Source organism: Homo sapiens, chromosome 2 (genome assembly GCF_000001405.40).
Source record: "Homo sapiens chromosome 2, GRCh38.p14 Primary Assembly".
Taxonomy (NCBI): domain Eukaryota; kingdom Metazoa; phylum Chordata; class Mammalia; order Primates; family Hominidae; genus Homo; species Homo sapiens.
Genome location: NC_000002.12, coordinates 142907556 through 142927838, shown reverse-complemented (window position 1 = coordinate 142927838; position 20283 = coordinate 142907556). Strand labels below are relative to the sequence as shown.

The following is a 20283-nucleotide window of genomic DNA, read 5'->3' as shown; positions in this document are numbered from 1 at the left end:
TTCTTCAATAAGATTTTGACTTTATGAGCCTGTGTTTATAACTAAATGATAACATCTTTACAATTCATTTGGAAAAACTTCAGTGTTTTGTACTTACCTACAATGTCCTTCATAAGGCCTACAATACTCTCATCTCCTGTAATCCAAGGACGCTTCCCCACTTCATGACCATAGGCTGCTCTGAAATTGAAAACGGACATAAACATATCTTAGCTTTTATGTGCATGTGTGTGATTATTTCAAATATCAGCTTTAGCAAATAAACATTTCTATGTGGACCTTTCTATGTGTTAGTAATTATATAAAATCAGGCCTTTTTAAAACAAAATATATAATACTTGGGATTAATGTCTTTTAACTTCTCTTTTTAAATTTCTTTTATTTTCTTTTTGTGAGGAATGGGGGAGATTGTTCATATGTTATTTTAATATTTTGCTATATTCTAGAGTCTAATTTTTTTGGTCTCAGTTATTTTGCAATTTTTAAGATTATTTGAACACTACTTTTATACCTGTAGAATGTAGTATCTATACTAAAACTTCCATACTATTTTGTAAGGCTAGAGACTAAAATGATTATAAATTGAAATATAGCTATAATCTGTAAATTTAATAGAAGTGTATAAAATGTGATTATACTCATGATACCATTTTATAGGTAAATAACAAAATTTATGAATAATCAAAGCCAATACTACTTGGTTTGACATATTTGCTAGCAATTTCATCTGTCACATTCCAGCTCAATTTTATTATTCTAGTAAGTATCCCAGGAGGCATAGTAGAAAAATGCAAAATACATAGAGTACTTCAACTTTCAAGAAATTTCCATGAAATGAAGAAGGCAAATACACTTGAAAAACATAGAAGAAATTAAAACAGAGGATTAAGATGAAGCGCCTCTGAGTGCTGTTACATTGTTGTATCTTATGATGCCCTGAATGTGATAGTTCTGTAAGCAGGCAGGGGGGTCTCCAGGGATTATAACATTTAATAAAGTTGAACCATCAGCCTGTTTTACAGCCTCCTGCCCTATCACTTGTTTTTTTCCCAAGCCTGGTGTGTAATGCTGTCACCTTGTTGGTTAGGGCAAGCTTCTGACAGACCCCAGCAACTCATAGACGAGTCTGTGTGAAATTTCCTCATTACCATGCTAAAGTCTCCACCCTGGGGAGGAGCTATAGCTTCATTACCATAAGATGCGATCTACGCACTGGTGTGATTACTCACTGCATCTCCGCAACTGGAACTCTTCCTCTACATGAGATGATGCACCTTCTTCCCTATCACCCCATAAAACTTCCCTGTCACTTTTCCTCTGGGAGACACTGCTTTTGTGAAAACTCCCAGTGTCCTCCTTACTTATGCCAAGTAATCAAACTTCTATTGATCAAAACCTGCTCTATTTTTTTTTACTACAGAGAAATAATTTATTTTAAATCATATTTTAGAATTATGCAATATTTTAAAACTTATTTCATAATAAATATTGCAAAGATGATTTCACAATTAAAAAGATAAATATTTGAGCCTGCTATATATTCCTCTGACTTTTTTTTTTATTATACTTTAAGTTCTGGGATACATGTGCAGAACGTGCAGGTTTGTTGCATAAGTATACATGTGCCATGGTGGTTTGCTGCACCCATCAACCCGTCACCTACATTAGGTATTTCTCCTAATGCTCTCCCTCCCTTAGCCCCTCACCCCCCACAGGCCCCAGTGTGTGATGTTCCCCTCCCTGATTCCATGTGTTCTCATTGTTCAACTCCCACTTATGGGTGAGAACATGCGGTGCTTGGTTTTCTGTTCCTGTGTTAGTTAGCTGAGAATGATGTTTCCAGCATCATCCATGTCTCCAGAAAGACCTTTGTTACTCACCAAAAGAATAAAACCCATTTTTTCTGGGTAACAGTTCTTAATTCTTTAGGAATCCAAAAGTTTGTCATCTTGAAAGAAAGGAATGAAAATGTGCTTTTTGTATAGTACCAACCTGGGTTGAATCTGTGTCAGTAAACTGGTGCTGGTGGGCTGGTACTCCCTAAAAGGGGTGGTAAGACCAGAGGACTAGAGCACTGTTTTTCCTCCTTTGCAGATTTCCAAGGTATAAATACTCCCATCATGGGTGATTTCATACTACCAACAGAAATTCTGAGTATTTAATAATTGGCTTTTGACATCTGGTATAAGCCAGCTCCAGGTCAGTACTGGTCATGAGACCACATTTATTGGAAGCTATAGGGCTTCATTTTCCACATTTGTACAAGTAAATGGGTAACAATATGGACCTTAAAGGATTCCCATGAGAAATAAATGAGATAACATGTGAAAGAGACGGTTACATAGTACCCTGTTTCTGAGTCTTCTTTCCTAATGTAAATCTAATGCTAAAACTACCTTCATCAGCATGTGGTGTAGAACACAATTTTTAAACTAACATTTCTATTACCATATAAACTAAGATGAAGGAAGAGGACTTTCTTTGAGAATAAACATAGGCTGCTAAGAACTAAGGATGGAAGAGAGGGGCAATTGTTAGTTATTATTATTTGTATTATTATTAGATAGCCTGCAGCTTGCCTCTTTCTTGATTTCTAATATAAATGCTAAAGACAAAAATCATTATCATTAAATGGTAGTTAAAGGAAGATACTTGGATCCTTTTTTATTTTCATCACATAGAGCTCCATGGCCTTTGCTGATAGCACAATACATCTTATTACATTTAGGTAGTAAAATTCTATGTTCTGCCTCAGAGAATTTATATCTCAGAATGTTATGCCACCTACTCCTTACTCTGGTAGACACCGTGGTAATAATCTTTAAGGATGTGTTTCTTCCTGCAATGCTTTTGGCATCTCCCTCCCTTTAAAATACCACACAGAGTCTGCTTCTTCATTTTGTTAGCCCACTAGCCTGGGGTAGTGAAATGTATTTAGAAAGTGTTACCCAAATAAACCCAAAGTAAAGTGGCCTGTCATTAGAAAGAGTTGATGTAGATTAAAGTGCCGTTATAAACATCAGTATTAAAGTTAAGAAAAAATATATTGTTCAAACAAAGCTACTTAAAATAGTCGCAGCATAGATGTAATCTTCTTTTACAAATGCTGGAAAGGAAAAGAGAGCATGGGAGAGAGTTAACTCACTGCCACAGAATAAATCATTGCTATAAGTGGGTGTTTTCTGAGACATCTACTAGGAGTATTTACTCACAAAATTAGAATTGCAGGATGTAAAATTAGGAAGTTAATAGAAACCTGGATCCTCTTTAAAGTAGGACCATGCTGTAACCATCCCACAAAGTGAAAAATGGCCCTGTTTTTAGAAAGCTTCCTTCCATAAGTAAATAATTACAATTTCATGGGCTGCCTTCATTACATTATAATTTTTTTTCCATGATCCAATTGATGATTAGCCAATAAAGATGTTGAGAGGCCAGGGACGGTGGCTCACGCCTGTAATCCCAGCATTTTGGGAGTCCAAGGTGGGTTGATCCCTTGAGACCAGGTGTTTGAGACCAGCCTGGGCAACATAGGGAGACGTCGTCTCTACAAAATTAAAGAAAAAATTAACCAGGCTTGGTGGCATGTACCTATAGTCGTAGCTACTCAGGAGACTGAGGTGGGAGGATAGCCTGGGCCCAAGTGTTTAAGGCTGCAGTGAGCTATGATCACGCCACTGCACTCCAGCCTGGGCAACAGAGTGACACCCTGACTCCAAAAAAAGAATGTTAATTAGAAAAACAAAAACAAAGATGTTGTGAAAAATCTTTGTAACATGCCATTCTATGTATTTTCTTAGTGCTCTCTTATTCAAACACTATTGCTTTTAATGGAAGAAATCCTTAAATTAAATGAGACTAGAGGGGTCTGAAGGAGGCATCTACATCTCTCTGGCATGTTTTATCAGTGTCCTGTCAGCACACACACACTGCCATGTAAAGTAAACTCTGTGGTTTATTCCTGATATTTAATTCAAAGGGACATTTTTGTCTTTAAATAATCTTACCTAAACTGTCACAGTTCTTAGAAGAATCCCTGTAGAGACAAAACTGTAGTAGGTTTTTGCTCTTATGAAAAAGAGAGAACACCCTTTATGTAGCAGATTTGACAATGTAAATGACCTAAAATATTGTGATTCTATTTTAGGAACATAATACCCATCTCCCAGCTTACAATATGCTCTTTAGGACTGATATATCCTTCTGTTCTAGCTGAATTGTGGCATTATGATTATTAACCAATGTTATTCTTCATTAAATAATCCAGGTCATTAGTAAATATTTAATATAAACTATTATTCCCAAATACTTCATGCCTATTGCCTACTCATTCCAACAGACCCATAGGCTTCAGGCATATTGTTGCTTCTTCTTGTTACAAAACCTTTTTACTTATAATTATTAAGTATCAAATAAATATAATCACCCAAAAAGTTTTATATTTCAGAATACTGGAATTGCCTAAATATTGCCATTTTGCAAAACAAATATATTCTTCAATGTGTTATTAATCTACTTTAGAAATCCCATAGAGTTGAAAATGAAAATGCAAATTAATGGTAATAGAATTTTAAAACTAACACAGAGGTAAAAGATTCTAAGAAAACTATTTTCACAGTTTTCCTTAAATAAGTGTAAGTTTTAGAAATCATTTGGTTCTACTATCATCTGAATGTGTCCCCTTCAAATTCTTATGTTAAAATTTGATCTGCCAATGTGACAGTATTAAGAGGTAGAGTCTTTAGGAGGTGATTCAGTCATAAGGGCAGAGCCCTCATGAATGGGATTAGTACCCTTGTAAAACAGGTGGGAGGCAGGTGTTTGCCTCTTCTGCCACATGAGGTTACAGCAAGAAGCACCATCTTGGAAGCAGAGAGCAGACCTTACCAGACACTAAGTCAGCCAGCACCTTGATCTTGGACTTCCCAGCCTCCAGAATTGTAAGAATATTCATTTCTCTTCTCTATAAATTATCCAGACTCAGGTATTTTGTATAGCAGCGGGAACAAACCAAGACAGATCCTAAAATATTTCTAGTTGTACCTCTATTCTTGGCTTTTCCTTAGTATAAGAAATCAAAGATGGTAGCCTTATGAATTACAAAATCAGGCTGCATTATGACAAAAAATCATTTATTCAATACTTAGGTGTGGTAGGCAATATGTCTGCAATAGGCCATAAAACTGGAGAAGATGGAATCCGTGAGCCAAATGGCATTTCCTACTTTACAATACTTGGATAGACAGAGATTTGACATCTATATGCCTGTGTAAAATCTTGCTTTGTTGAAGCACTCTAATTTTTATGTTACTGTTAAGATTATAATTTTTTTTGAGACTGGGTCTGACTCTGCTGCCCAGGCTGGAGTGCAGTGTCACAATCTCAGCTCACTGCAAACCCCCACATTCCAGGCTCAAGCGATCCTCCCACCTCAACCTCACGAATAGCTGGGACTACAGGCATGTGCCACTACATCCAGCTAAATTTCTTTTGTATATTTTGTAGAGACAGGGTTTTACCATGTTGCCCAAGCTGGTCTCAAACTCCTGAACTCAAGTGATCTGCCTGCCTTGGCCTCCCAAAGTCCTGGGGTTACAGCCTTGAACCACCACGCCTGGTCAAGATTATACATTTTTAACATTATCTTTTTCAACTAAGCAACTACTTTCAATGTGCATTGTAGTATTTAATAAGTGTGTAATCCTCTTTGACTCAGTGATTCCCATAATCTTCCATTGGTCAAGAAGAAAGGGAGTCACTGACCTGGCTTGAGTATCAACCAAGAAGTAGAGCAGAAGTGGCATAGAGGGAGGCAAAGAGGAAGAAGTGATCAGATAAAATTTACCACAATAATGGGAGGCCCTGGATGTAGAGGCAACTGAACACATGCAGGGTTTGATTTTAGTACAAAAAAACAAGGCAACAGTGAGAATGAAAACTGAAGAGACCAACAGACCACTGAAGTGGCATGAAGACTACATGTATGTATGTATGTATGTATGTATGTATGTATGTATGTATGTATGTATTTAAAGACATGGTCTTGCTGTAGCCCAGGCTGGAGTACAGTGGCACAATCACAGCTTACTGCAGCCTTGACCTTCTGGGTGCAAATGATCCTCTCACCTCAGCCTCTCAAGTGGCTTGGACTACAGGCATGCACCACCATGCCCAGCTAATTTTTGTATTTTTTTGTAGAGTTGAGATCTCACAATGTTGCCCAGGTTGGTCTGGAACTACTGGGCTTTTGTGGTCCGCTTGCCTCAGCCTCCCAAAGTGCTGGGATTACAGATGGTAGCCACTGCATCCATCTCTTTGTTGCTCAGGCTGGTTTTAATTCCTGGGCTAAAGTGACCCACATTGGCCTCCCAAAGTGCTGGGAATACAGCCATGAGCCACTATGCCTGGTCTGACTACTTTGAACACATCTGAACAAAGAGCAGCCACAGAAAGAAATTTATCTAAACTTAAGCAAAGCCTCCTAAAAATACAGCTGCTACTGACCCATCCTCAGAGGTAGATGGACCTTAGCACCTGGAGGTACAAATTCAGCTGCCATTCATCTCCCTCTTGGGAGCTTCCAGCTAGGAAGGATACTGCCCATTAGCATCATGATGAAAAAACCCAATAGAAACTTTCATATTTTCCCACTGAAGCTCTAAAACTCTTCCCTTTAGTCAAGCTGGTATATAAACCCTTACCCATGGCTGTTCATCAAACTACCCCTTGTAGAATTCTTGTATCTGAGTGTGAAATAAACTTTTCTCCTGTTAACCTGTCTGTTGTCAATTAATTGGCAGGCCCTCAATCACTTTGACCTAAGTACTCATTTGGTAGAGAAAAAGTTTCCTCCCAACAGAACTTCAGCTGGAAAACATCAGAAGTGGGATTTTAAGCTAAATATTTGGGAGGTAAAAAATAATAATGAGCAAACACTTTTGGGATCAAAAACGATGGGTGAGGTAGGAAAAAGAGGCAGGTGATCAGGCATCCCAAACACCACAGACATTTATGGGCGGGTCCATGATGTTGACTGAGTCACTACAGCTTAAAACAAGAAGACTAAAATAAACAAAGCGAGGATGGAATAGATGTCCATTTGCTTAGAAGTCTTCTTTAATTCACTGTACATTGCCTGAAGCATTAAAATATACAGCCTTTCTGAATCATCTGTCTAATGAAAACTCAGTAAGAAGGTTTAATTAAAATGATGAAATTTTCCATCATCACAAGGTGAAATATAAAAGACAAAACAATAGAAGAGCATGAGGTGCTTTCCTGAAATGCAACTTTAAAGTCTTGAAAATAATCAACCGGTTTCTTACTTAAGTGGATGACCATAAGGATATGAATAGAATAGCAGGGCAGAATATATTTTAAATGCTTAGGGGATAAAAATTCACAACCTTGCTGAATGAATATCCAAGAGGCAAGGACACTCTATAAAGTTCAAATTCATTCAATCTAATTATCTGCCCTCTCTTACATTAAGGCCAAAAATGAATATTAACCATTTTTATTAACTATGACCCCCATTCATTAAATACTAAAACTTGCTAGAGCAAATGTGGTGGTATGTATTTTGCAAATTATGCATAAAAGTTATGCAGATAAAGTTATAACATGATTAATAAATTATATAAACTATCATTCTTACATCAAGTTGTGAAATTACGTTCTTAATCACTAAAATTAAGAACTTCACAGTGTTATCTAATAGCCATAGTTGTAATCATTTGCACAGTGTAAGCTAAACATTATTTATTTATTTATTTTATTGAAGCAGAGTCGCCCAGGATGGAGTACAGTGGTGATCTCCACTCACTGCAACCTCTGCCTCCCGGGTTCAAGCAATTCTCTTGCCTTAGCCTCCTGAATAGCTGAGATTACAGGCACTTGCCACCATGCCAGGCTAATTTTTATATTTTTAGTAGAGACGAGGTTTCACCATGTTGGTCAGACTGGTCTCGAACTCCTGAGCTTAGGAGATCCATCCATGTCAGCTTCCCAAAGTGCTGGGATTACAGGCGTGAGCCACCATTCCCGGCCTAATTTTTGTATTTTTTTAGTAGAGGTGAGGTTTCGCCACGTTGGCCAGGCTGGTCTCAAACTCTTGGCCTCAAGTGATCTGCCCACCTCTGCCTCCCAAAGTGCTGCAATTACAGGCATGAGCCATTGTGACTGGCCTACTAAACTTTAAAGAATGGATATTGTTCCCAATTTGAAAACCAGTAGCATGAAGAATGAAGAAAGGTAAAGAATGTATTCTGAGTTTCTATGACAGCCAAATGTTTTTCCTCTGAAATTCTATTTGGTTTGGTTTCATCTTTCTGAAACGTTTTCCTAACTGTCAAGTTTGGCTCATCTTCATATTGATTTTTCAGTTTCAAATAATTAGAAAATATTTCTGGTTATCATAAAAGTAAGTGTTGATAATTTAGCCTAATCATGAAGAAATTAAGCTTCAGAATATTAACTCCTCTGTTAGTTACTAAAGAAATAAAATAAAATGATTACATGTGGTTTAGAGATGTCAACACATGAGAGGAACTTAAACGTTTAAATATTGTAAAAGTTTTTAGTCCTGATTCTGCCACTAGCTTGCTATGTCACCTTATTCTGATCCTCAGTTATTTCATCAATCAAATGAGACTACTGAGCAGCTAAAGTTTCTCTGTATCCATGGATTCCCTCTCTATGGATTCAACCAACTGCGGATCAAAAATATTTGGGGAAAAAAATGGATGGCTGCATATATACTAAACATGTACAGACTTTTTTTCTCGTCACTATTCCCTAAACAATACAGTATAACAGCTATTTACATGACATTTATACTGTGTTAGGTATTATAAGTAATCTAGAGATTATTTAAAGTATATGGCATAGGCCTAGGTTCTTTGGAAATATGATGCCATTTGTATATAAGGGACTTGACCATTGTGGATTTTGGAATGATAGGGAGGCCCTGGAACTAATCCTCCACAGATGCCAAGGGATGACTGTACTAGGATTCTATTACACATCTTTCCAAATATTAGACAACCTAATGTGATTTTGTAAATTTTTGTATGAGATGTAGAGTAGTAGCTTTTAAAATAATACTTACATTTTGGCCCACTTATCTAGTTCTTCTTCAAGATATGTTTTAACCATTTTTGGTTGAAGGCCAAGAGAATTTCCCAAGAAATAGATGGCATTTTCATCTTTATTCACTAATGATAAATCAACTGAAACAGAAGAAATGTCAAAAAAAAAAAAAAAAATAAAAGCTTTTTCAGTATGGTATTGTTAAGCCAGTACAAATAATTAATACAATCAACTCTAAGAAGGATAAAAAGTAATTAAAAATTACTCCCAAGGATGACATCAGGTCCTCTAAAAAATAATTAAGTTTTGCATTTACATTTAAAATATAATTTAAACCTATAGAGGCTATTATGAGGATCTCTCATATTTACTGTGCTCCATGAGGAAATCTAAATTAGCAAGTACTTCCAATCATGAATTGCCAAAGCATTAGAAAAGAGTTAAAAACAAATGTTTTTAATTAGGAAATACATCAGCCTATCTAATTGTATAAGAAGATTACCAGAATTTAGTCAAGTACTAACACGGTACTAATTTGTGTTGTAGACATGGCAATTTTTTTAAAAAATGCAAATAATTATTTACATAACTTAAGTAGATGTACTGGATTTATGCGGTTTTTTTCATTCTATATCCATACACACGTACACATAGTACTAACACATGTATAGGCAAAGATTGTTTTCTACATCTACTTCTTATTCATATAAATCAAACTTTGATGATTTTTATCCTACAGTTAACCCACTGCAAACAAACCAATCCATGTGCTTAAGACGTAGTCCAGAAAGTCACAAGTTTACAATCACATTTGTAAACTACTGAGTTTTCTCTTATATCTTAGGGAAAAAAAGACTAAGCTTCTTGTTTATATTTCACTGGAATCATTAAGTACTATGTTGGTCTTTACTTCAGACTACTTAATTAAACCTTTAAAGACTTTTTAAAGACATACCATCTATTTCAACCTGATCCCTTTTATAGATATTGTTTTTCATTGGCATCTTTTAAGCCTGACCAATAAAATATATGTATATATTGTTTACACATGTGTGCCAGAAGATTCCTCTTGGTTAAGGTATCCATTATTTCCTGGATCTAGGATTAGATATGCCTCCCCATTTCCCATCCTCAAGGTTATCATGTCAGCCAGGCACAGTGGCCCATGCCTGTAATCCCGGCACTTTTGGAGGCAAAATTGGGAGGATCACTTGAGCCCAGGAGTTCAAGACAAGCATGGGCAACATAGTGAGACTCCATCTCTATTTAATTTTTTTTTTTTTAATAAAAGGTTATCACATCAATGGTTTGGACATTACTGATAATCTCCTTATAGCTTGAGTCCAAGTTTAGTGCCTTTGGGATTATATCCACAGTTTTCATGGCTCCTGTGCTTTCTCTACACAACCCTTGAGAATATGGGAGCTCTGGGTTCATCCATAGTTCCCAGTCCTTCAGTGCCAACTGCTGACTCTTGCACAACTCAATGTCGTGTGGATTCTGTTGCACATCTTGTTTAGTATTTAATGCTTATGAAGTGGGAGAGGGTCCCCTTTCTGAAGCATTTATTGTATTTACCTTTTTTTCCCAAAGGCAAGTCAGGATTAATGTACACCAGTCAATCCTGTTCTTTAGGATTATTTTCTGTCTCCTCTACTGACAACTTTTTTAGCATATTGTGGGTTTAGTGCTATGCTAAAACATTTATTGTAGAGATTGTGATATTATTACATTTTTCTTTAAAGTAGGTATTGCCAATTAGGGCATACATTTTTTGCAGTTTCTCAATGGTCCTCTTGGTTTTCTCTCTCACTTCAATGGCCTTTTCACAAAGGCCGTGGAGCTTACTAGAACTTTCCTTTTCAAAGTGAACTGCTTGATTAACACATGTCCTGTTAGTAAATCCCAAAATTTTGGTTAAGTCACAATGCTTCAAGACCGCAGTTCACTCTTCTTGTAGGTATTGTTTTCCAACTCTTTCTTTTAGTGCCTTTGCTTCTTATTCCCTGGAAAGTCTTCCTGCATTGAATTTAGCCTGATCTTATTAGAGGGAGGAAAAGGGGGGTAAGGTGTCTCAATTTCTTCCTCTTAATCCATACTGTCCAGATCTACTCTGAGTAAACACTGAGAGGTGTCATGATCTGGGGATCCTGTGGGTTCATGTTCAGATCAGCATCATTTGCTGCATTTGTTCTGTTAATACCCAGCAGGCAGGATCTGTAACCAGTACCCTTGTTTTAAGCAAGGCAAGGCAAACTTTTTCTGTAAAAAGCCAGAAAGTAAATATTTCAGGCTTTCCAAGCCATACAGTCTCTGCTGCAATTCCTCTTTTTTGTTATGATAGGATTAAAAAAGCCATAGATAATTAAAAAATAAATGTGGCAGTGATCCTAAAAACTTTATTCCAAAAAGAAGGCAGAGATTTTTGAGCCTTGTCTTAGGGTCACACTTCAAATTCTGGCACAGATTGGGCATGTTAAAAGAGTTCATCAGTTCCCCCTATCAGCCAAGTCTCCACATTCAGTAAATCCTCCTTGAGCTGGGAATACTTGCTTCATGTAACAAGCCCCCCTAGTTTACTAGGGCTTCTAGAACTAAAGCTTCTGGGTAGCTTAAACATAAATTTATTGTCTTACAATTTTGCAGGCTCTGAGTCCAAAATCAAGTGTTGACAAGGTTGATTACTTTCAAGCACTGTGATGGAAGAATATGTTCTAGGCCTCTCTGCTTGGCTTACAGATGGCCATCTCTTGTGTGTTTGGCCTTCTCCCAGTATGCCTGTGTGTTTCCCGATTTCCCCCTTTTATAAGAACATCACAACATATTGAATTAGGGCCCACTCTAATATCTCATTTTAACTTGATTATTTCTGTAAGGACAGTATTAGGAACAGGTGGTTAGGCTGTCAACACATGAATTTTTAGGGAACATAATTCAACCCATAGCACTCTGCTTAAAAGTTCACTTGACTTCAAACTTGTTTACGAGCTCAAGATTTTCAGCTTTTAACAAGCAGGGCTTGCTCCAGTTAGTCCTTAAGTCAACAGTGTTAGAGCCATTCTTCTGGAATGCTCCTTTCTTTGAAAAGGCTACAGTATGATTGCTATAAAGCTCATGGTTCTGAAAACTCACTTTATTGCTTGAGGAGCATTTTAGTGCATCAAAAATGTCCACCACTGTGGACCTTATGAGCTTACTCTTTTAGTTTATATGAAGCTTAACCTAGGAACTAGTTTCAAAATATCAACATCACTTCAGATTTAAATCTTCTCCCCAGCCCTAGCTCATGCTTGACTTAAGTTCAGGAAACTGCAGTTTGGAACAAAGGAATGTGTCTATTAACAATTTATTTTCTTGTTCCTCACTGCTGCTGCTTCTTATTCCTCCAATGGAGTGGAAAAAGAAAGGCAAGAAAATCTTAGTCCAGCTTTGGTGCTTTTTGGTTAGCTCTTTCCCTTATGAAGTATTTTTTCTGAGTTCATGAAAATCTCCTTCCCACTGGAGACCTCCAATCTCCAGTTTCCTGAAGTAGTTAATGAATACTTAAGCTGATGTCTCACGATCTGCTCACTACCACCACTTCCCACCTCATACAATATATTTCTAGAATATTTATGCAAAAATTACCACAACTCAACAAGCAGACTTCTCAGGTATGACCCTTTTGCAGTATATTTTTGTTATAGGAGTTATTAAGAAATTATTTTAGGCAGATAGAGATGAAAAGGCGTCCTTGGGAAGTTTTTGTTTCTTTTAAAGCAGCTCCAGAAATGTTTCTTGTCTAACAGGAAAGCCCCGGCTCTTAGAGCCTGCAGGCAAGCTTTAATATGCAAATAAAGGCCATTAGAAACTGGGTCCACCAAACATGGTGATTTCCCTTGTCTTCCTCTTGTCCCCACATGTGCCTGGCAACATGGCTGCCCTCACATATCCCCACAACTGGTCTCTAGCACAGTCAGAACACACACAACATTTATTGATAAAGTTCACCATCTTATACGGACATAGCTCATGTTGCCCCAAGATAATGACAATAATAACATCAAAGAGAACTGATCACAGATTACTATTACAGATATAATAATGAAAAAGTTTGAAATATTGTGAGAATTGCCAATATGTGCCACAGAAACACAAAGTGAGCACATGTTCTTGGAAAAATGATGCCTATAGACTTGCTGGAATTGGAGTTGCCACTAACTTTTAATTTGTAAAAAATGCAGTATCTGTGAAGCACTCTAAAGAAAAATGCAGAGCTCCCCAGATATGGGCAGTTTTCCAATCTGGAAAACAGGTGAGGTGCTCAAGATGGCTGACTAGAAGTAGCTAGTATATGCTGCTCTCATGGAGAGAAAACAAAGTGGTGAGTAAATGCTACGACTTCAAGTAGATCATCTAAGATGTCATGTTGGGATTCAACAAGAAAGCAAGAGGACTCACAGAGAAGAGAGGAGCAAAGCCAAGGACTTGCCCACCTGGGACCAGTACAGACCTGGGGAAAGTTCCCTAAGTCAGGAAAGGGTTGATGAGTGAGAGTTCCCAGGGGATCCAAACATCTGCCATGGACCTTTGCAATCCTGGGCATGGGAGAAGCCCTTGACCTCAGTGGAACTCCAAATCAACACAGAGACCAGCCTGGAATCTTTGCAGGGGTACCACTTAAGCCCAGTGGAGCCGCACAGGCCTTGGATCCCTGAGCAGCTAGGCATCAGCTGCCATAGCCCCAGTAGAAGCTACTGTAATGGTGCCAAGGAGTGGCCAGACTGCCTAAGCCAATAGCAATAAAACAGGTCAAAGAAGGGCAATACATAATGATAAAATGTTCAATGCAACAAGAATACTAAACTATCCTAAATATATACATAGCAAACACTGGAGCACCCAGATTCATAAAACAAGTACTTCTAGACCTATGAAAAGACTTAGATGGTTAACAATACTAGTAGGGATTTCAACACCCCAAAGAGAGCATTAGACAGATCATCAAGTCAGAAAACTAACAAAGACATTTTAGACTTCAATTCAACACTTAGCCAATGGGACCTAATAGACATCTACAAAACATTCCACCCATCAACCACAGATTATACATTCTTCTCGTCTGTGAACAGAACATACTCTATGATTGACCATATGCTTGGAGATAAAGCAAGTCTCAATAAATTCAAAAAATTGAAATCATACCAGCCATACTTTCAGACCACAGTGGAATAAAAGTAGAAATCAATACCAAGAAGATCTCTCAGAAGTACACTATTACATAGAAATTAAGCAACTTACTCCTGAATGACTTTGGGGTAAACAATAAAATTAAGGCAGATATCAAAAAAAAATTTGAAATAAATGAAAACAGAGACACAACCAACATGCCAAAATCTCTGAGATGCAGCAAACACAGTATTATGAGGAAAACTTATAGTGCTAAGCACCTACATCAGTAAGTTAGAATGATCTGCAATTCCCAATTTAGTAACACACCAAGAGGAACTAGAAAAGCAAGAACAAACTAACCCCAATGCTAGTAGAATAAATAACTGAAATCAAAGGAGAAAACGAAATCAACTCCTAAATATTCATAAAAAGGATCAATGAAACCAAAAGCTGTTTCTTTAAAAGGATAAACAAAATCAGCAGACTACTATCTAGATTAAAAAGAAAAAAACAGAGGATTCAAATATGCACAGTCAGAAACAACAAAGATGACATTACAACTAATCCTGCAGAAATACAAAAGATCCAGCCGGGAGCGGTGGCTCCAGCCTGTAATCCCAGCACTTTGGGAGCTGAGGTGGATGGATCACGAGGTCAGGAGATGGAGATGATCCTGGCTAACATGGTGAAACCCTGTCTCTACTAAAAATACAAAAAAAAATTAGCCAGGTGCAGTGGCGGGCACCTGTAGTCCCAGCTAATTTGGAGGCTGAAGTAGGTGAATGGCGTGAACCCGGGAGGCAGAGCTTGCAATGAGCCGAGATCGTGCCACTGCACTCCAGCCTGGGTGACAGAGCAAGACTCCATCTCAAAAAAAAAAAAAAAAAAAAAAAAGGAAGAAAGAAATACAAAAGATCCCAGCTGGGTGCTGTGGCTCATGCCTGTAATCCCAGCACTTTGGGAGGCCGAGGTGGGCGGATCACCTGAGGTTGGGAGTTCGAGACCAGCCTGACCAACATGGAGAAACTCCATCTCTACTAAAAATACAAAATTAGCTGGGTGCGGTGGCACATGCCTGTAATCCCAGCTACTTGGGAGGCTGAGGCAAGAGAATCGCTTGAACCTGGGATGCAGAGGTTGTGGTGAGCCGAGATCGCACCATTGCACTCCAGCCTGGGCAACACGAGTGAAACTCCATCTCAAAAAAAAAAAAAAAAAAAAAAAAAGAAATACAAAAGATCCTTAGAGACTCTTATGAACACTTTATCCATGAAAACTAGACAATCTGAAGGAAATAGATAAATTCCTGGAAAGATACAACCTCCCAAGACTAAACCAGGTAGAAACTAAGACCCTGAACATTCCAATAGAGTTTCAACTTGAATCAGTCATAAAATCTTACCAACCAAAAAAAGTCCTGTGCCAGATGAATTCATAGCCAAATTCTATCAGACTTACAAAGAAGAGCTGGTACCAACACTGCTGAAACTATCCCAAAAAATTAAGGAGGGGGTGACTCCTCCCCGACTCATTCTAGGAAGCCAGTATCACTCGATACCAAAATCTGCCAAAGAAATAACAACAACAACAACAACAACAAAATTACGGGTCAATATCCCCATTGAAGCAAAAATCATCAACAAAATACTAGCAAACCAAATCCAGAAGCACATGAAAAAGTTATTTCACCACATTCAAGTAGGTTTTATTCCTGGGATGCAGAATTGATTCAACACATGTAAATCCATAAATGTGATTCAGGATGTAAAGATAATTGAGAACAAAAACCATATGATCATGTCAATAGATGTAGAAAAAGCTTTCAGTAAAATCCAATATCCCTTCATGATAAAAACCCTCAACAAACTAGGCATCAAAGGAACATACCGCAAAACAATAAGAGCGATCTATGGCAAACTCACAGCGAACATCATACTGAATGAATAAAAGCTGGAGGTATTCTCCTTAAGAACTGGAACAAATCAAAGATATCTCCCACTCCTACTCAATATAGTACCGGAAATCTTAGCCAGGGCAGTCAGTCAAGAGAAAGAAAGAAAAGGAATCTAAATAGAAAAAAAATTATCTATCTTTACTAATGATAAGATTCTATACCTAGAAAACCCTAAAGACTCCACCAAAATTCTCCTAGAACTGCTACACAATTTCAGTAAAGTTTCAGAATATAAAATCAACATTAAAAAATCAGGAGCATTTCTATATGCCAAGAATGTTTAAGCTGAGAGCCAAATCAATAATACAATCCCATTTGCAACAGCGAAAAAACAGTAAAACACTAAGAAATACATCTAACCAAGGAGGTGAAAGCTCTCTACAAGGAGAACTCCAAAGTACTGCTCAAAGAAAAATTATAGATGACACAAATAGAAAAACATTCCATACTCATGGATTGGAAGAATCAATATCATGAAAACCACCATATTGCTCAAAGCAATTTATAGATTCAAAGCTATTCCTATCAAACTACCTATGTCATTTCTCACAGAAATAGAAAAATCTATTCTAAAATTCGTATGTGACCAATAAAGAGCCTGAATAGCCAAAGCAATCCCAAGCAAAAAGAACAAGGCTGATGGCATCATTACCTGACTTCAAACTACAAGGCTACAATAACCAAAACACCATGGTACTGGGACCAAAACATATACATAGACCAATAGAACAGGTTAGAGAACCCAGAATAAAGCCACATATCTACAACAGTCTAATCTTTAACAAAGTTGACAAAAACAAGCAATGGGGTAAGAACTCTTATTCAATAGGTGGTGCTGGGATAACCAGCCAGAAATATGCAGAAGAATGGAACTGGACCCCTACCTTTCACCAAATACAATTATTGACTCAAGATGGATAAGACTAAAATGTAAGACCTAAAATTATAAAATTCCTAGAAGAAAACCTAGGAAATATCATCCTGGACAGTGGCTTTGACAAAGGATTTGTGACTGAGTCCTCAATAACAATTGCAAAAACCCCCCAAACTGACAAGTGGGACCTAATTAAACTAAAGAGCTTCTGCACAGCAAAAGAAACTATCAGCAGAGTAAATAGACAACCTACAGAATGGGAGAAGATATTCACAAACTATTCCTTGCAAATATTTAATATCCAGACTCTATAAGGAATTTAAGCAATTCGACAAGCGAGAAACAAATAACCCCATTAAAAAATGGGCAAAGAATAGAGGCAGAGGCGGGCAGATCACGAGGTCAGGAGATTGAGACCATCCTGGCAAACACAGTGAAACCCCGTCTCTACTAAAAATACAAAAAATTAGCCAGGTTTGGTGGCAGAGGCCTGTAGTCCCAGATACTTGGGAGGCTGAGGCAAGAGAATCGCTTGAACCTGGGAGGTGGAGATTGCAATGAGCCGAGATCACACCACTGCACTCCAGCCTGGGGGACAGAGCAAGACTCTGTCTCAAAGAAAAAAAAAAAAAAAAAAAGGCAAAGAACATGAATAGACACTTCTTGAAAGAAGACATACATACAGCCAACAAATATATGAAAAAATGCTCAACATCAATAATTGTTAGTGAAATGCAAATCAAAACTGCAATGAGATACCATCTCACACCAGTCAGAATGGCTATTACTAAAACATCAAAAAATAACAGATGGTGACAAGGTTGCAAAGAAATAAAACACTTATACATCATTGGTGGGAATGTAAATTAGTTCAGCCACTGTGGAAAGCAGTGTGGAGATTTCTCAAAGAATTTAAAATAGAACTACTATTTGACCCAGCAACCCCATTACCAAGTATATACCTAAAGAAAAATACATTGTTCTACTAGGAAAACACAAGCATTTGTAGATTCATTGCAGAACTATTCATAAAAGCAAAGGTATGAAATTATTCTAGATGCCTTTCAATGGTGGATTGGATAAAGAACATGTGGTACAAATACACCAAGAAATACTACATAGCCATAGAAAGAATGCAATCATGTCATTTTCAACAACATGGATGCAGCCAGAGGCCATTATCTTAAATGAATTAATGCATGATCAGAGAACTGCATACTATATGTTCTCATTTTTAAGTGGGAGCTAACATTTGGTACATATAGCTATAAAGGGAGGAACTATACTACCTATTGGGTACAATGTTCACTACTTGGGTAACAGGGTCATTTGTACTCAAAACCTTGGCATCACACAGTTTACCCATATAACAAACTTGCACATATATCCCATGAACCTAAAATATAAGTTGAAATTAAAAAAAAAATACAAACAGCAAAGTGCAGTAAAATGAGTTATGCCTGTATGTCCCTTTAATATATTCATTGTTGGCATCCCAATAAAGCTAATTTTAATCTGAATTGTAATTATGTTAAAGTCTTTGTGTAAAGGCTTATATCTTCTACAAATATGGATTACCTATCATAATGACTTCCACAAAAAAAAAAACTTGATATATGTTTGGAACATCCTATTAATAGCATCAACACTAGCCATATATGATCACAATTGTAAATACATTGTTAGATACAAGTACCAGATAGTCTGTGTTTGAAAGAGACAAACTGCCATTAATGTTAATGTCATACATATATTGATATGTTACTTTTAAAACTGGTTAGAATAATATTCCTGAAACAATTTTTTGAATTATATAATTAGAAAATAGATCATTTTGGCTGGGCACGGTGTCTCACACCTGTAATCCCAGCACTTTGGGAGGCTGAGGTGGGTGGATCACGAGGTCAGGAGATCAAGACCATCCTGGCTAACACAGTGAAACCCTGTCTCTACTAAAAATACAAAAAATTAGCCAGGCGTGGTGGTGGGCGCATGTGTTCCCAGCTACTCAGGAGACTGAGGCAGGAGAATGGTGTGAACCTAGGAGGCAGAGCTTGCAGTGAGCCAAGATCGTGCCACTGCACTCAAGCCTGGGCAACAGAGCAAGACTCCATCTCAAAAAAAAAAAATTGATCATTTCATATTTTATTAGGACTTAGATACTGGTCTATCACATCAGGAGCTTGAACAAATACCAGTGCCTGGGTTTGAGTCAAAAACTCTAAATTTTTTTGGTGTAGGACTCTAATATAGGCATATTTTTTTTAAAAAAAATCCCACAACCAGTTCCTTATATGAACTCACTTCAGAGGCCTGGCATTTAATTTACCCATTAAAAACAAAACAAATAATAAAAAAAAAACAGACTTCTCAATTTAATTAAATTATTCAAGGTCACAGAAGGTAGCTTACCTTCAACTTACTACAGCATAAGGTTACTGTAATTTAAGATTTAATTAAGTTCATTTTAAATATTTTAAAATTCAATAATAAAATACATATGAACTCAAAACTTTCCAATACTTTTCACAGATGAAACATACAGAAAATTACATTGTTTCCCATTTGTAATAAAATTAAAAAGCTACATTAGGACAGAGGTGAAGGGCCAGTCCAGTTCCCCCAAAGGCTAAAAGAATAAAAATCTCAGCATACTTCTAACTGCCAAACACACACATATACAAACACTCAATAAACAAACTCATATTGAAAATCAGGTGTAAGTTTAATTGAGAAATTACCTATATTTTCCTTTTCCTTTTGCAAATTGAAGAGGAAACCTAGAAGTAACAATATGTTTTGATGGAAAAGCAAAGGTAAGCTCTAATTTTTTTTAAATGGCTTGTCTGTGTAAAGAATATTTGAAGTATTGAGAGACAGGACTAGCTGGATTTCCTAGGTTGACTAAGAATTCCTAAGCCTAGCTGGGGAAGGTGACCACACCCACCTTTAAACACAACGCTGGTAACTCAGCTCACACCTGACCAATCAGGTAGTAAAGAAGGCTCACTAAAATACAAATTAGGCTAAAAGAAGGAGGTAAAGAAATAGTCAAATCATATATCACCTGAGAGCACAACGGGGGGACAATGATCAGGATATAAACCCAGGCATTTGAGCAGGGAGTGGCAACCCCCTTTGGGTCCCCTCCCATTGTATGGGAGCTCTGTTTTCAGTCTATTAAATCTTGCAACTGCACACTCTTCTTGTCCGT

The 20283-nt window shown here is 37.3% G+C and overlaps 1 protein-coding gene and 1 pseudogene across 8 annotated transcripts in view, besides 1 other annotated feature; both read right to left on the bottom strand.

Moving 5' to 3' along the window:
• KYNU (kynureninase) overlaps window positions 1–20283 on the bottom strand; it is a 178170-nt gene that overhangs the window by 127995 nt on the left and 29892 nt on the right. For all 8 annotated transcript variants that reach the window (NM_001199241.2, NM_003937.3, XM_047446250.1 and 5 more), the window contains 2 exons: window positions 9110–9230; window positions 98–180 (listed from right to left, as the gene is read on the bottom strand). In NM_001199241.2, coding sequence (NP_001186170.1) covers window positions 98–180; window positions 9110–9230 — 204 coding nt within the window. The remainder of the gene's footprint in view (window positions 1–97; window positions 181–9109; window positions 9231–20283) is intronic.
• Window positions 10408–12270, bottom strand: STIP1P1 (stress induced phosphoprotein 1 pseudogene 1; annotated as a pseudogene).
• Window positions 12388–13263: an enhancer, noted in NCBI's record as "OCT4-NANOG hESC enhancer chr2:143672145-143673020 (GRCh37/hg19 assembly coordinates)". NCBI's record gives its function as "activates a minimal SCP1, AML or CMV promoter by ChIP-STARR-seq in primed H9 embryonic stem cells {active_cell/tissue: H9 hESC(primed)}" and the evidence as "EXISTENCE:reporter gene assay evidence [ECO:0000049][PMID:30033119]".